Source organism: Homo sapiens, chromosome 12 (assembly GCF_000001405.40).
Source record: "Homo sapiens chromosome 12, GRCh38.p14 Primary Assembly".
NCBI lineage: Eukaryota > Metazoa > Chordata > Mammalia > Primates > Hominidae > Homo > Homo sapiens.
This window is the reverse complement of record NC_000012.12, coordinates 31,088,982-31,105,190: the sequence shown is the minus strand read 5'-3', so window position 1 is coordinate 31,105,190 and position 16,209 is coordinate 31,088,982. Positions and strand designations below refer to the sequence as shown.

Genomic DNA, 16,209 nt, shown 5'->3' with positions numbered 1-16,209 from the left:
AGAGAGCCCGTATGTCAGACAACAAACCGTCTCTGCTAACCCCCAGCAGCCACAGGCAGAGGAAGAAGAGGACAACTGGAAATCCTAGCGGGCGCCGCCATGCCTTCCTCCCCTAAACCCAGACTCTAGCCATGGCCCGGACGTGGACACAGCCAGAATGGGATCCTCAGCCCTGCTGCCCTGGAAGGGGCGGGGATGAAACTGTCCCAGGTCTGTGTGGAGACCACCTTCGGGGAGCGGGAGGCTGGCTTGAGGCCACGCAGCTGGGGTGGGGGCTTCCGTCTGCCTGTGCTCCATCGGAGGATGGCTCCACCCAGCCCCTGCACCAGTGCGCTCCTCGATTCCCTAAAGAGGCTTCCAGAGAAAACAGCAGCACATATCAATAAAAAACTCAGCAGAAACCAACAGCACACTTTTATTTAAGGACCTATAGCTGTGCAGGATGCAAACATCTGGGCATCAGTGACTTTCCTCCTGCCCCCGTTTGTCCCTGATGGTGGCAGAAGATCCCAGCTGACCACAGCCCCTTTCTCTGGGGTCAGAGGGAGAAGACAGGCGCAGTCAGCAGGGGCAGCTGTTGCAGGTGGGAGGGATATTTTCCCACAGGAACAAAGGTCTCCGTGATGACACGGGGTCTCTATAGTCATGTTGAGAGCCTAACGGCCCTTGGCATAATTGCTGGTGTTGGGGTAGAAGGTGTCTTGGAGTTTGCTCAAGTGGTTGAGAGGGAGGGAGGTGCCATAGACTTGGAGGAACTGGCACGAAGCCAAGGATACAAATCCAGGCAGGGCTGTGGGACAGGATAGGGAGCAGGGCCTTCTACTGAAGGAGTGACTCAGGAAGGAGGAGGGGAAGGTGACAAGCCCCTGGGCAGGAGCCCTGTGGCCATGGATCATTTTAAATTGAGACCAGAGAGTGAGCAGTCCAGGGCAGCTATAACCTTGGCTAGAAAGGGCAGAGGCAGATGGGCCTGCTCCATCTCGCCTCTTAAGAAGGTGGGCAGGACGGAGATGCCACAGTGGATGCCACAGCTGCCACAGCCTCCTGCGGAGACCAGGAAGGAAGCCTGGCTCTCAGCCATGCAGGATGGAAAGAAAGATTCTATTCCAGGAGGGGAGCTGCCCTGGAACGCCCCAAGGACAGCCAGGACCCACTGTTCATTCAGGATTCCCCCATTTTCTCCTACGGGAGCTAACGCCTGTGCCTGGGTCCTGGCAGCACTCTGGACTCCACACTCTCCTCCTGGGTTTCACCTTTGTAACAGGATCCCCGCAGACCACGCCCACGACAAACACTGTCTCCAGCGGGCAGGACAAAGGAAGGGCACGGCGCCAGGCAGTGGTGTGGTTGCCCATCAGGAAGAGGCCGACTTCTCCCGGTGAAACTGGGCAGACAGAAGGCAGTGAGAAATGTGATCTCGGGGTGGGGAGGCTCTCAGAAAGAAAAAGGTAGGACTGACCTTCTGCACAGCAGCAATGGCGGGGCCAAAGGTAGCTTTGACCTCCACACGGGCTCGGATCCAGGCCGGCAGCTTGGCCAGGACAGGGGGCCGGGCATATCGCTGGTCCAGGAGCACTACGCTGGCAAAATCCTTCTGGTGCCTGATGGCCCTGCCTGCATAGGAACAGAGGCTGGGGCTCCGAGCAACACCTGCCTCCCCCCTACAGCACATTCCCACGGCGACCCCCTCCCCTTCCTCAGACTTATATAGGAAACAGGGCAGGCAACCCCTCTTTCCTGTTCTCCCTTTCTCCAGCCCCCATCTGTCCACCCAGCTGGAGGCAGCCAGGCTCACCTATGGACTGGTTGACGGCCTTCATGCACAGGTTCTCCACCAGAGCCTTCCCTGGGGGTGCCTGGCCGGGGGCTCTGGGCTGGGAGTGAAGGGGAAGACCCATCAGGACTGTTCCCTGCCTGCAGCTCCCCCTGGGAAAAGACCCTGCCAGGCTTTGGAGCCAGACCAGGAGGCTTCGTGGCCAATGCCAGCAGCAGGGGTCCAGGTGACATCACAGGGAAGATCAAGAGGGTGTGGAGGGGCATCCAAGCTTCCGGAGGGGGCAGGAGACGCCAGCGCAGCGGGGAAGGCCTGGCTGTATCAGCCCTGGGGGTGATGCCACTCCCACCCACTGCCTACTCTCCTGTCACCCTCTGTGACACTGGGGTCACTCACGAGGGTTTGATCCAAGTAGGCCATCTTCTCCTGCAGCTCTGCAGACCTGATGTTGGGGAAGGGCATGCCCACCATCACCACACACCTGGGCGGGGGAGACAAGAGCCCAGCAGGTGGACGTCAGGACCTCCCGGGTCATCACCCACGTCACCAGCTGCTCCGTTCTACCCCTTCCCTCAGCCTCTCCGACTGTGATCAAAACTCAGCCTCTCTCCACTCTGTACCTACCACCTGGAGAGGGCTTGTTCGGCTGAGAGATCCCGTCTAGGCCAATTGACTGGGTCCTGATACAGCAATGGGTAGCCTAAAATCCAACTGCTCTCCCAGGACCAAACCCAGAGCTGCTGAGCCCCTCCCTCCAGCTGGCTGGTCTGAGCAGTCGCAGCCCAGCTGTGGGCTCTAATGGCAGCAGAGAGCAGGCAGGGGCCCAGCTGCTGGGAGTGAGGGCCGGCCATGTATCACGGCCCAGGAGACGAGCAGAACCACTACTTACCGGCCTAGGTTGTCAGAGAAGTTGATCCCTTCACTCATCTTTCCTCCAACCACAGAGAGGAGCAGGGCCCCTGTCACCTGGCCTCTCTCCTGGCCACAGGCCTGTAGGAGAAACCCAGACGCTGAGTTGCTGAGCCAAAACTTGGATGACACCCACAACGTTTCCAGCTGCCACCCCCACACGATCTCAGACCCAAGCCCAGCATGACGCCCGCACCTGGATGCACCTGGAATATGCCAGCAGCACCTGCTCCACCTGGTGTGCGCTCTTAGGTTCCTGGAATATCTGAGAAAGACAGAGGACATTTCCCAGAGACAGGTTCAGGGTGCCAGGTCTCGAGTCTGCTCGTGGCCTTGTGTTTTCTGGCCAGGGGACTGGAGAACCTCACAGCCAGGGACTTTGGGGGAAATCCTCTGTAGTCAGGGACTGGGAGCGGTGGGGATGAGGAGCCAGAAGCCTGTCCTGACCCGATGAGCACGAGAGCTCCCAGGAGGACTCAGTGGCACTGTCCTCACAAGTGGGAAGGCTGCCGACAGGCCACTCACCTTCTTCCTGGCAGCCAGACGGCCCAGCAGGCCACCCTTCTCCCAGTGGGCATGGACCTGGCGCAGGTACTCGTAGGAGGGGAAGAAACAGACCACCCCTCCAGGAACCACACCGCACAGGTTACAGAGAATGCGACCCACCTCGTCCATCTAAGGAAGGAAAGGAGGGAGGGAGGGAGCCCCCATGGAGCAACCCCTCAGCCACCCACAAACCGCGTCTTCACCTTGAGACTCAAAACTGAGGAGAGACCCTCGGCAGGACTACAGCCAAGGAAGAGGACTTGGCTCCCCTGGGTGGGAACCACGGGGTGGTAGGTGCCACCTCCCACCAAACACACCCAGCCGCTGCTGCTGACTGCGCCTTTCTGACACATGTCACAGCACTAGCGTCCCTAGGGGGCCTCCCTATTGCCCTGGCACTGAGTCCTCCCTTCTTCTGTCCAGGGTCCTGATGGGCACCACAACGACAATCAGGGGCTGCACACCCCAGGCACACCACAGGAGATGCCCCCAAGCCCCACATCCCTACCCCCGGCAGGGGCAGATATAACCAAAGGGCAAGAGAGCCAAAGGGAACTAGCAGCTTTCTCCTGTGTGAGGCGTCCTCAGAGGATGCCTGGAGGTTTTATGAATACATATTTCGCAGCCTAAGGCGTGAGGGGCGGGGAAGCTCAGACCTTCCTCCATAAGCATCTAGATCGACGCCGCTCATTCTGTGTGGCTCTAAGCGGGTGTCCCTGTGCAATTTCCCCAACACTGAAAACACTCAGGGTGGGCCAGAGCGCCCCTGCCCCAGAAAACCCTTTGCTGCCTGAGGCCAGGCTGTGGTGCGGCGAGCTGGCTGGGACTGACCATCTGAGGCAGCTCTCTTTTCTGGAACGTGAATTCCAGCGGCTGGTTGGAGATCCCGCTGCAGATGACGAGGGGCAGGATGTTGTCTGGAGGGATCACGTGACCTGGTAAGAGCCAGGGAGGGGCCGAAAACTGGAGATGCAGGTGTGCTGCAAGACACTGCAGAGAGGGCATTTCCCTGCCCCATCATCCAGCACAGGAACAGCGACTGACAGCGCTCACCCGCCCACCATCACCAGTCACACTGGGCAGCAGGCAGCAGGGAGCAAAGCAGGAGAGCCTGGGCGAGCGCACGAAGGGTGAGGCTCCCACCCCGGGGTCTCCTCCGCCCCTGTGCCTGGTCGCAGTATGAGGTATTACCCACAGAAAACGGGGGCCAGAACCTGACCTCTAGCCTGCCCCACCCTGGGCACAGCTTCTCACCACAGGAAAACTCCACCACGCGCTCAGCTTCCACCCCGGCACAGGCCAGCAGCTGCTGCCGGAAGTCAGACACCTGTAGACCAAGGCCACAGCGTCACGGCCCCATGACCCCTCAGAGGCCCAGCAGAAAGGAAGCGAGAAGTCTGGGCTAAGAGACAGCAAGTACACACAAACTGAAAGAAGAGGTCAAAGAAAAGGCTGATGGCAAACTAACAAAAAGAAAAATGGTGACTGATACCCAGTGCTGGCAGTCTCGTTTAAACTATGTGCAGGAACAGCAAAGGAAATCCAGCAAATCTGGCACAGTCATTATCAACCCTGGCCATGCAGCAAAATCACCAGCGAAAATTTTCAAAAATACACATGGCCAGGCCCCAGCCCAAACTACTGAATAAGAATCTCCAGGCTTTCACCTGTTAGACTGGCAAAAATCCAAAAGTAACCACTCTGGAGAAACAGGCATTCCTAGACAGTACTGGTGGGATACAGAATGGTACAATTCTCATGAAATTTCACAGTAGTTAACAAATTAAACATATTTATACTTTTTAACCCAGGAATCCCATATTTAGGAGTCCAGTGAGAAGATACAGCCCACAAATACCAAACAGCATGTGCCCCCGGACCTTTCCCTGTAATCATGCGCCTGCCTATCCAGAGGGTACTGGTTGGATAAGCTCCCTACATCTGTCCAACAGAGAACCACGCAGCCCACTAGAGGAGCGATGGTCAGACAACTGACTAAGATGCCTTCTGTGTAAATAAAACAGGAAAGGGAAAAATGAAGACACGTTTTTGCTTATTTAGGGGAAAAAGAAAGACTGAAAGGATAAGCTAGTAAAACGGATTCCCTATGGGGGTGGGGAATGGGCTGGAAAGGGATGAGAGTGAGGCTTTCCTGAATAGATCTTTTTATATTGCTTTGACTTTTGAGCCATACAAATATTTACATATTTAAAAACTACAAGTCAGAAAAGAAAAAAGCAAATTCTAAAATTGAAAAGAAAATGAAACAAAAACAGCCTAGTTATCTATGAAACTGACAACAGAAGCACACGGAGAGAAGCCTGGTTCCACGTGACTTTAGAGCCTAGTGACCAGGCATCCTTAGTGGGTTACACTCTAAAGGCAAAGAGGAAAGGCAATTTCAATCAGATCTATTGTTAGAAGTAATATTGGTACTATGATTTCAAAACTTTTAAGTATATTATAGGATAGAGCAGATAAGTATGTTAATGTAGCACACATGTTCAGGCTTAAGAGAAAAAGAGGTACAATAAAAGGTCAAGTAAACAAATCCTTTGATTTTTACTTAGAAACACCAATATGGGCCAGGCGTGGTGGCTCATGCCTGTAATCCCAGCTCTTTGGGATGCCAAGGCTGGCGGATCACCTGATTTCAAGACCAGCCTGGCCAACATGGTAAAACCCCATCTCTACTAAAATACAAAAATTAGCTGGGTGTGGTGGCACATGCCTGTAATCACAGCTACTCAGGAGGTTGAGGCATGAGAATCGCTTGAACCCCGGAGGCAGAGGTTGCAGAGAGCCGTGATCAGGTCACTGCGCTCCAGCCTGGGAGACAGAGCGAGACTGTGTCTCAAAAAAAAAAAAAAAAAAAAAGAAAGAAAGAAAGAAATACCAGTATGGATTCATTCTGAAAACATTTCCTAGATCTGTCTACCAAAACGCCCCAGGAGCACGACAAACACCCTAGCACCCACAGCTTGACTTCTAAATGTCATTCCCCATTACAAGAAACCAGAGCAGCTTGGAGAAATGAATCAATCCAGTGTGGGGAAAGGACACCCATGGTGATCCCATGACATTCTGCTGTGCTGGAGGCGAGACTGACCGGGCCACGGGGAGGACCTGAGCTAGCAGGAAGGGGCTCTCACAATGTGAACGTCAGAAACAATAATTACTGTAAACAACTTTTAATATGCCGAATGAATAAAACTATGAATCTATCCATACAAAAATATAAAAATCAAAAGCTAAGGCAGCTGGGGCTGGGAAGCACTGCTTCAGGATTCCCAGCAGCTTTTTGTCCAGGAGGCCCTTCGCTAGGTAGGAGTCACCACTGTGCAGAAATGCGGTTATATTTATCACAGTCATGCTCAAAACAGAAAACTGCAAATAGCTTGCACACCTAACAAGAGAGAAGCAGCTACATGAAATGCTATATATCTGTGTAACTGGAATCCAGCACAGCTGGGATACTGAAATACGTGCATGCTTGCTGACAAGGAGACAGGGTTTATGACCCTCTGGCTGCTGAGTGAAAAGAGCAAGTTCCAGTGACAGCACATGGAGGGAGCCGTACTTTTGTTTTTAAAACAGCTATGCACATAAGTAAAAATTACGCCTACAAAGACTATTATATTCATATACATCAAAATGAACCTTTTAAAAGTGGAATCATGATTTTTTTCCTTGAGTTTGAAACCACAGAACAGCTTTCTCTGGGAGACATGTGATCCTGGGGCTACAGAATGGAGCAGCAGAGGAGTCTCCACTGCTCCTGCAGCCTAAAAGGCACAGCAGTGAGAGAATAGCAGTGTCACCCAGCGGACACCACTGGGCCTGCTCGAGCTGACCCTTTCTGGCTTGGGGCCCCAGGAGAGAACAGGACTGATAATGCATCTCTCCCAAGCCCCCATCTCATCCCAACACCTGGGGCACGAGGGGCTGGGAAAGGTGTCCTTACCGGCTGCATGGTACCCCCCGCAATGACCACTGCCCGGCATTCCTTCACCACTTGGGCAAAGTGCACAGCTGGATTCAGGAGCAAAAACTTCAGGGTGCTCTGACTGAGGCTGCCTGGAAAAACAGATCGGTGGGAGGTGAGTGCAAGCCCAACAGACACTTCTGTCGTCCCAGCAAAGGGGGTCCCCCAGGTGAGTCCAGGTCTGAGGCACAAGTGCTAGTGCTTTCTCTTTAAATTAAACACCATTTAATCTCTAGGACAACCAGCCCACAGAGGTGGACCACACTGTCCTCTCCATCCTTTTTTTTTTTTTTTTTTGAGATGGAGTCTCGATCTGTTGCCCAGGCTGGAGTGCAGTGGCTCAATCTCGGCTCCCTGCAACCTCCGCCTCCTGGGTTCAAGCAATTTTCCTGCCTCAGCCTCCCGAGTAGCTGGGACTACAGGCACCCACCACCACACCCTGCTAATTTTTTGTATTTTTAGTAGAGACGGGGTTTCACTGTGTTAGCCAGGATGGTCTCGATCTCCTGAACTCACGATCCGCCCCCCCTCAGCCTCCCAAAGTGCTGGGATTATAGGCGTGAGCCACCGCGCCCGGCCTATCCTCTCCATTTTCATATGAAGAAACTGAAGTTGAGAAAGAAAATAGTCCAAATCACAAGGCTCATAGATGACAAAATCATGACCCAAACCAAAGCCCACCTACCCCACAGTAGAAGTTTCCCTAGGACCCCTGCCCTAGAGGACCCCCATCCCAGCTCCTCGATCTCCTCCCGTCCACCTCCACTGCTTACCCTGGTCACGGGACCCCCATCCCAGCCCTTCGATCTCCTCCCATCCACCTCCACTGCTTGCCCAGGTCACAGCAGGCCAGTGCCCACTGCACTGCTTCCTCCTAACCCAGGAAGTTCCCAGGATGGAAGGAAAGAATCCTTTCACGCTGCGGCTCCCGGGCTCAGCTTGGCTCCTTCCTGGGAACTGAACCTGGCCAAGAACCACCTGATTACCTTGGCGGCTCAGGATGACCCTGCCGTCCTGGTTGGCCGTAGTGAGAGCTGCCAGGAAGCCTTGGATGTGCATCAGTGGAGAAGCTGGTCGCAGGGTGCTGGCCTGACTCTCGTCTGCAGGGGCTGCAAGAGCTGCACAGAGCAGAACGGGGAGGAGGCCTCCCTCTGGTCAGGTCCACACATGAGGAACAGAAGTCCTTGCCCATGCGTGCAGCCGGCTCTGCCTGCCCACCCTCCTGCCTCACCTTCAGTCGTCCTGGGCTGCAGGCTCTGCAGGAATTGCTGAAACCCAGCCAGTTTGGGCTGCTCCCGGGATGAGAACACTGCTCCGTACCGTTCAGTGAATCCAAAGAGCTGGGTGGGATGAGAGAGAGCAGTGGAGAGGAACGAGGTACAGCCATGAGAGAGAGGCTGGGTGGATCGGAGGCTCTGCCAGGCCCAAGACACCTGCAGCACACATCCCACCACCCCAGCAAGGCCCACTGCACCAAGGAGAGTGGAGACGAAGGGGACTCTGGAGTTCCCTGAGGGCAGGGGAGGAAAGCATGGCAAGGGCAGGGGGTTGGGGCACAGCTGGGTCTTGTTCAGGACCACAAGATGGGAGCAGTTACCTTTCTGCTGATCATGCTCTTCTCACAGTATCGCTGCACCTGCAAAAACCAAGCCCAGCTGTAGGCATGAGTGCAAACTGAGCAAGCTATAATCTTAAAAACAAAACAAAAAACACCACTTCTACCACCCAGGCAGCACAACGCAGTGCTACCTTCTGAGGCACCTGGAGCCTCCTTGCCACCAACCTTGTCATCTCCTCTCCGAGGCCACCCCCTCCTCTACTGCCCCTGCCCACAACGCAGTGTCCTCCTCAGGGTGGAGACCCTCTTTCCAAATGTCTCTCTCAAGTCTAAGAGTGCTCAGTAAAATCCAGTTCCCCTTGGCTTTCCTTCCAGGTGACAAAGAGTTAAAAAAAAAAAAGGAACTTCTATGAGCAAAGCCACAGAGGAGATGATGGCTGGGACCTGCTCAGGGGCTGGGGCAGTGCCACTCAGTCGGTGCATCCAATGTGTGTGGTTTGGTGCCAGATCTTAGCTTGGGATGCAGAGATGAGGAGTTTGGAGCCTTTAAACCGGTTTCTAAAAAGAGCGACGTCCTTCGATGAGGATTCCCTCAATGGTGAGTGATGAGACCCGAGACCCATGGGAAGAAGAGGGGAGAAGGAAAGCAAGGAGGGCAAAGGGAAGGCGAGAGAAGGAGTGCCTGCACCCATGTCCCAGCTGTGGGAGAAGCGCAGGGACGGCAGGACTGTCTCAGGCTGTCAGGCCTGGCGGCTGTCACAGGCATGTGGGAGACAAGGGGAGAAAGGCATCAAGGATGACCTGGATCCAGCCTGTCTGGCAGGGATGGCGGCAGTGACAGTGACCCAAATGTGTAATTCAGGGGAAAAGCTGGTTTTAAGAAAAAAAAGGCAGGCAGGATGGGAAGAATGTGGGGCCCCAAGTCAGTGCAGCCAGGTTTGGACGCTGTCTCTGCCACTTGCTATTGGCTCACTTGTGGGAAGCCTGTGCTCGCCACCCTCCTGAAGTCACCTCCACGGGCCTGTTTGCTTTCCTTGCTGGGGCAAAAGGATATCCTAGCTCAGAGCACAGCACATGGCATGCCGCCTACAACAGAGGCAGAACCCTGTACCCGGGGGCAGTCACTGTTGCTGATTTGAGTTACGAGCTTGGGGTTCAGGCGGCAGTGGCCGTGTTTCATCTGGGGAGCGCTGGGTACACAGACCTGGAGTGAGCAGAGGTCTGAGGCTGCAACCAGACCCAAGGCCCAAGTGGGAAGACGTGACAGGGGTTGCACAGAACAAATCAACGTCCTATTCCTGTCCATAAGCCTGAGGGAGACTGTGCCAGAAGACGGAGTGAGAGAGCAAGGACCTGGAGTCTCTATCTGTTCTATGGGGCACCAAGAAAGGTCCCTTTCTCACCCATCCCTCATCCCTGTGGCCTTCACTCTAAAAGAAGATGACTTTTGTCTCACAGGCATGTTGCGTTAAGGGTTAAGTAATTACACATCTGTTTTGCTTTTTCTTCCTTCTACAGTCTTAACATAGTACTTTACCCACAGGTGGTGACAGGAAGGAAATTGGATGTGGAATGTGGAAAGGTGGAAACCTCTACCTTGAACAGGTTGATGTTGTCGATCTGGCTCTGGAAGAGAAAGTCGTTGATGGTCTTCAGCTCCGTCCCTGAGAACAAACACATGAAGGGCCTTGGGAGCTTCACCCTAAGCCTCAGGTTTCAGTCCCAGGGTTAAGCTCGGAAGTGGCTCAGATCAGCTCTGGGCCCTCTGAGGGCAACTCTCTTACCTGTCTGTGACAGACTCTGTGTATTGGGATTTTGCTTAATGTTCCCTAAAAAAGAGAATGGAAATAGGTCACAATGCTGGTTCTCAGGACCCCCAACCCTTCCCTATCTTCTCTCCCTCCACACTGCACATCAAGTAAGAAGAGCATCTGTATTTAAATGGCTTTGTTTTGCTTTTCACTGTTTATAGCATGCAACGGACCCACTGAGAGGGCAGGTGGGTCCAGGAGCCTCCCATGTCTGACTCACGTGCTTGCACGTGGAACCCAAAGCCCTGTAAGTTCATGTTTTTCACCCCTTCTCCAGGAGGCCGGGACACAGCAGCCAGACCAAGGTATGCAGGGCACCGGAGCACAGAGGAGCTGCCCAGGCCACTGGTGAGCCTGAGGCAAAGCAGAGCTGGTGGCTCAGAGCAGCAACACGAGACCAGCTCCCGCCAGGAGCTCCCACAGGCTTTCTGCAGCTTCCACTTCCACAGACGCCTTCCAAGGGGGTGCCCCATCATAAAAGAAGGGGACGTGACAGGGTCATGCAAAGAGGCGTGGGAGCTGGAGTCAGAAGATCCCAGGCTCCCGTGCTGGGAGCAGCCCTTGCTCCGAGCTCTAGTTTATGCGTCTATCAACAAGGATTCAAATACCAGCACTGCGTTCTCACAGGGCACACAAAACCGCATATGCAAGTGCTTCGAACAACCCACAGAACTATGCCTATCACGGAAACACCGTGTGTCTATGTGATGCTGTATCCTTAATATCCCCCCAGAGCAGGGCCTGAAATAAAAAGTCCTCAGAACATGGGCAAAGAACCCATGGGTCTAAATAAAGCTCAAGTCAGACAACTCAACTAAGCTACAAAGAACAAGAATTTTCTAAATCAATGACCAAGACCCTTCTTTTTTTTTTTTTTTTTTTTTTTTGAGACTGATTCTCACTCTGTCGCCCAGACTGGACTGCAGTGGCACAATCTCGGCTCACTGCAACCTCCGCCTCCCGGGTTTGAGCAAGCAATTCTCTTGTCTCAGCCTCTGGAGCAGCTGGGACTACAGGCCACGGCAACACTCCCAGCTAATTTTTTTGTATTTTTAGTAGAGATGGGATTTCACCATGTTGGCCAGGCTGGTCTCAAAACTCCTAACCTCAGGTGAACCACCTGCCTCGGCCTCCCAAGTGCTGGGATTACAGGCGTGAGCCACCGCACCCGGCCGACCCTTCTTAAAAACACAGAGAACTGAGGTGTCCTGATGGGCATCCAAGGAAAAAGCAGCCCAGCGAGTTTTGCAGGCCCGGGGTCAGCAGGGGGACGAGGCTCTCACCCCCTAGCACAGCCACGAATTTCTCCAGCAAATACAGGATCTGCTTCAGGTACATCAGGTTCTTGGCCTTCAAACGCTTCCTGAGAAGAAGCCAACGGACATTAAGTGGTGGTGCCCTGATGGCGACTCGCCCCGCCCACCCCAGTGGAAGCCTTGCTGCCCGGTGCCTCTCAAACTGGGTCACAAGCTACAAATCCTTTCCCAGAGAGCAGGCTGGCCACGGCCCCAGGCCTCAGAGCCAGCGGTCAGTCCCCAGCCTTCCAGGTCTGTGTGCAGCACACACCATGATGTGCCTAGGACATGAATGGCATGCAGCTCCACCCCGCCACAGCCCGGGCCAGAGGTGGGAACCAAAGTGCTGCCTGCCTCTCAGAGGCCCACGCAGGGGGCCACCAAGGGACTGTCCCACTACCTCAGAGGGTCACATCTCACCCGTATCGCTCCACGTACTGCAGCAGCTGGGAATGGGCCTGGCAGAGCTGGGGAAAGAACACAAACCAGGCTCTGAGCAAGCAGCTGAGGGCTAAGGTACTGACATCTTAGATTCACCTAGAAGATGCTGGCCCTGGACACACAGGAAGCCACCAAAGGGAGGAGAGGGGGCTGGCTGCAGACAAAAGGTACGGGTTTCCACAGCCCTTAGGCTGGTGGGAGCTAAGAGAAAAGGGAAGGAAGGGAAGTTTTCCTCCAGTGTCCACTGTGGGTCAGAGAAAAAGCAAGAGGCTGAATTCCTCAAGTATGGAATCTCCCTGCTAAGTTTCCACCGGGTTGGGAAAAGACCTGGAGTCTACAAAGAGTGATGGTTCAAGGCCACCATCACATCCCAGCCTCAATTCAGCCCAGGCACAGGTCAGTAGAGCTGGTGGGATGTCGTGGGGGTTTTCACAGTCAGAAACCAGTGGGCACACCCCAGCTCCACACTCATGAGCTGCATGACCTCAGGACAGAGCTTGACCATCTTTGAATCTCCAAGTTTCCAATGTAAAACAGGAACACCACACCCATGGCAGAGTCAGCGTGAAGACCAGAGACACCTGGTGCCATGCATGGCGCATGATAGGGCAGCAGGAGGAGCCTGCGCTGATCTTGAGCATTCCTCAATTCAGTCCCCTCCAGACAACTTCAGTAATGACAAAATCCAATCCTGAGGGGACTTCTGCCTCACACATGCCATCTCCCTGGCTTACAGAACTGGCTGCTGGCATCCAGGGCTGGAGGGACTCAGGAGCATGGGGGCAGATGAGGTGCAGGGAAATGAGGCACTCTGTCATAGCGGGGTCCCCCGATGCACTGGAAAGCCATGGTCAGCCTCCGATGAGGTCACCGCCTTGACTCGTGCACCCTCTATCAAGCCCCACCTCCGGAGGAACTCTTGGCCCAGGTGTCTGGAGGAACCATCCAAGTCCCTTTACGTCACAGCAGGCCCTGGCCCGGGGAGGGGAGGCCCACACACCTGGGAGCCGCTGACCTCCACGCTGTGCATGCCCGTGATGGTGTCGATCAGGTTGTGCGCCTCGTCGATGATCACCACCTGGTCCTGCAGCCGGATGCCCGCGGCCTGCCGAGTGGCCGCATGCAGCAGCATCTGATAGGGCAGCACCACCAGCTGGGAGGGGAGATGAGGCCACCTGAGCAGGGCGGGGCTCCCCTGCAGGAGCCTTGCCTGCCTGACACTGAGCTCCTGATGTGAGTGCTTCTATTTCCTGCCTGGACTGTGTAGAGACATTCGAAAAACAGCTTGTGGCAACGGACAAGCTCTCCTCGAGTTTCACATGAAAAGCCAATACATGAAACACAGGAAACTAGGGCTGGTCTGACTCCTGAGTAAACCAAGGGCAGGGCTGGGTGAAGGGAACCCCTGCTTAGCCTTGTCCATGTCCTCAAGGTCGCCCCGGAGGCCCCCGAGTTTCCACAAACACCTGCAGACCATCGGTGCACCAGGAAGCGGCCCCAGCTTCTACTCCTGGAGCTGCTACTCCCCAGCTGTGTGACTCTGGAAGAGTTGTCTAACCTCTCTGACTCTTGCTTTCCTCATCTGCAAAATAGGGTTGATACATCCTATTTCAAAGTGAGGGTTAAGGCGTGGAGCTGGGGTAACAAAAATAAAAGCAACTCTGCACATCTTTAGGTGTTTGTTGTTAGGAAAGTTTCCAGTTAAAGGAATACTCATATAAAAAATAAAATATCGGAAAACTGAATGGCTCCATCACCCACGCTTGGTGAGAAAATATGAGTCACTTAACTTTTCTGGGCTCCAGTGTCCCCATGCACAGAATTTCACTGGAATACTATTAACATAAAAGCAAAATATGGTCAAAGTACTTTAAAAATTCAAAAATTGTAAAGATTTTGGGCCATATTATGGTATTTGTGTATAAATGCCTATAGCACTAATCTTGCTCTAAAGGCAAACAGACGGGAGGGAAGGCCTGGGACACCATGGGGCCTGGCAGCTTTCCTCAGTTTCTCTGCCAGTGCCCACACAGCTCAGCAGGTATGCTGGTGAGCATTTAGCTGCTGTGCAAATGGTTACTTAGTTCCCTGAATCTTTTAAAACCTTACATTTTTTTCTGGATTATACAGAATTTTCCACTAGTGATATCCCGTTTCCAAAGTCACTCAAATTAAAGAAGTAGCAAGGAAATAGTGAAACTGCACCCACCAAATAACAGTGAGATACTACTTTTGATCTGCTACATTAGCAGTTCTTCCTTCTGTTTAAAAATCAAGAGAAGTTGAGGCAGAGAAGACAGTATTCTCACGTGCTGCAGGTAGGTGTAAGTTAGGGAAAGCTTTCCAGTTAAGAGTACTGATATTACAAAAAGGAAAAACTGGAAAACTGAATGGTTCTATCACTGACATCCTCCATCACATCATAGGCATGGAAGTTGGGAGCATCACTTGGAAAGCCATTTGTAAATAGATGTATGCAGCACACTCTTCTCAGCTCCTGGCATCCCCCCTCTCCCTGTGGTTTCACTAGGAATGCACCGGCTTTCCTGGCTCCTAAATACCATCCCCAGTAATGCCAACTGGCCCTGCTGCCTGGAGACCCCAAGGGATCCCACGCGCCTCCTCCAACTCACACATCAGGAGAGAATGGGTTAAGGTGCCATCAACCTGACCACGGTGGGGGGCATCCCCCAAACTACAGTGTGATGAGGACCCCCCTCATGGCCTAGACCACAGTGAGAGTCAAGAGCGGCTTTCTGGCCCTGCAGGGCCCTCACCTGGGCTGCAGGGATGGCAAGGCGGCTCCCGTAATAGGGACAGGCCCGGGCCTCCTTCCCAAGGGCCAGCAGCTGCTCCATGTCCTTCACCTCTGCCAGGGCCTCATCCCGGAGAAGGCCCATCTGCTCGTGGTTGTAGAAGGGGCAGGCTGCCTGCTTCTCCTGCCTCCTCCTCTTTGGCTTCTCCTCCTCAGCTCCTTTCTTCTTCTCTGAGGGTGGCACAGGCACAAAGAGAGAAAACAGAGAGGACAGCAACTGTCCACGGGCCCAAGAGGGGGTTGTGTAATGTTGAGACCCACTTCCATGGGGTAGGGTCTATAAGACCCTCCCAAGTACTGCCTACTGTGGTCTCATCGGAACACTGTAAGGTTTTACTTCTGTTCTCCAGAAAGAGCCCGTAAAATCATCTCCAAGCCAAGGATTCGGACCAGACACTGACCCAGAGAGTAGGAACACTTTTTCCCAAGGAGAGGGGACTCAGGAAGGAACTGGGGTCTCCTCTGCCATTCTTTCTATGAAAGACACTTAATGGTCTTCAGTCACTGCCACCCCTGCCTCACTCTCTCCAGACCACCTGCGGCTACACCATGGTCCCAGTGGCTACCGTGCCTGCTTCTCTGCATGTCCACACAGCGGTCGTTGATAAGCTGCACAGAACCTAGGCTTTTCACGTCTTCATTTACACAAAGGTTCTGCAGCAAAGGAGAAAGAAAGAGGCAAAAAGATGGTGCCAGCTAAATGACATCCTACCAACACACGTGGACCTGCCCCGCCACCTCTCCTTTGCCTTCCAGTGCTGGGCCGGCCAGGTCAGGGAGGGGGCTGCTCCTCACACGGTTCAGCCTGTCACAGACCCAGCGTCTCCCAAGGCCTGGACGAGCAGGACAAAGTTGTGGCGAAAGGAGCAGGATGGCCCCTGGTGGAAATACTGGCTACTGTTTACCTGCCGGGAGCCAAGGGAGACCAGCCGAACATCCTTGCCAAAGGGGCTCTTCTTCACCTCATGCACAAACTGGGCCAGCTGGGAGTGTGTCCGACTACAGTAATAAATCTAGCAGAGAGAAAGAAAGGCGCTTCAAAGAGAGAACCAAAACATCCCACAGCATTCTCTAA

At 53.9% G+C, this 16,209-nt stretch overlaps 1 protein-coding gene across 66 annotated transcripts in view, besides 1 other annotated feature; it reads right to left on the bottom strand.

Moving 5' to 3' along the window:
- Nucleotides 392-16,209, bottom strand: part of DDX11 (DEAD/H-box helicase 11) — a 30,940-nt gene continuing 15,122 nt past the window's right edge. For 14 of the 66 annotated variants that reach the window (NM_001413693.1, NM_001413705.1, NM_030653.4 and 11 more), the window contains 21 exons: nucleotides 16,040-16,147; nucleotides 15,701-15,788; nucleotides 15,097-15,305; nucleotides 13,320-13,472; nucleotides 12,299-12,345; nucleotides 11,867-11,946; nucleotides 10,557-10,601; nucleotides 10,369-10,436; nucleotides 8,812-8,850; nucleotides 8,446-8,554; nucleotides 8,201-8,332; nucleotides 7,194-7,306; nucleotides 4,484-4,556; nucleotides 4,061-4,164; nucleotides 3,209-3,358; nucleotides 2,880-2,948; nucleotides 2,664-2,764; nucleotides 2,171-2,255; nucleotides 1,796-1,874; nucleotides 1,460-1,614; nucleotides 392-1,384 (listed from right to left, as the gene is read on the bottom strand). In NM_001413693.1, the coding sequence (NP_001400622.1) occupies nucleotides 1,355-1,384; nucleotides 1,460-1,614; nucleotides 1,796-1,874; nucleotides 2,171-2,255; nucleotides 2,664-2,764; nucleotides 2,880-2,948; nucleotides 3,209-3,358; nucleotides 4,061-4,164; nucleotides 4,484-4,556; nucleotides 7,194-7,306; nucleotides 8,201-8,332; nucleotides 8,446-8,554; nucleotides 8,812-8,850; nucleotides 10,369-10,436; nucleotides 10,557-10,601; nucleotides 11,867-11,946; nucleotides 12,299-12,345; nucleotides 13,320-13,472; nucleotides 15,097-15,305; nucleotides 15,701-15,788; nucleotides 16,040-16,147 (2,037 nt within the window). In that variant the 3' untranslated portion in view covers nucleotides 392-1,354. Of the gene's footprint in view, nucleotides 1,615-1,795; nucleotides 1,875-2,170; nucleotides 2,256-2,663; nucleotides 2,765-2,879; nucleotides 2,949-3,208; nucleotides 3,359-4,060; nucleotides 4,220-4,483; nucleotides 4,632-6,889; nucleotides 7,015-7,193; nucleotides 7,307-8,200; nucleotides 8,333-8,445; nucleotides 8,555-8,811; nucleotides 8,851-10,368; nucleotides 10,437-10,556; nucleotides 10,602-11,866; nucleotides 11,947-12,298; nucleotides 12,346-13,319; nucleotides 13,473-15,096; nucleotides 15,306-15,700; nucleotides 15,789-16,039; nucleotides 16,148-16,209 lie in introns of those variants that run through there. The other 52 variants (NM_001413704.1, NM_152438.2, NM_001413699.1 and 49 more) reach the window with 32 other exon arrangements.
- Nucleotides 657-1,156: an enhancer, noted in NCBI's record as "H3K4me1 hESC enhancer chr12:31256969-31257468 (GRCh37/hg19 assembly coordinates)". NCBI's record gives its function as "activates a minimal SCP1, AML or CMV promoter by ChIP-STARR-seq in naive H9 embryonic stem cells {active_cell/tissue: H9 hESC(naive)}" and the evidence as "EXISTENCE:reporter gene assay evidence [ECO:0000049][PMID:30033119]".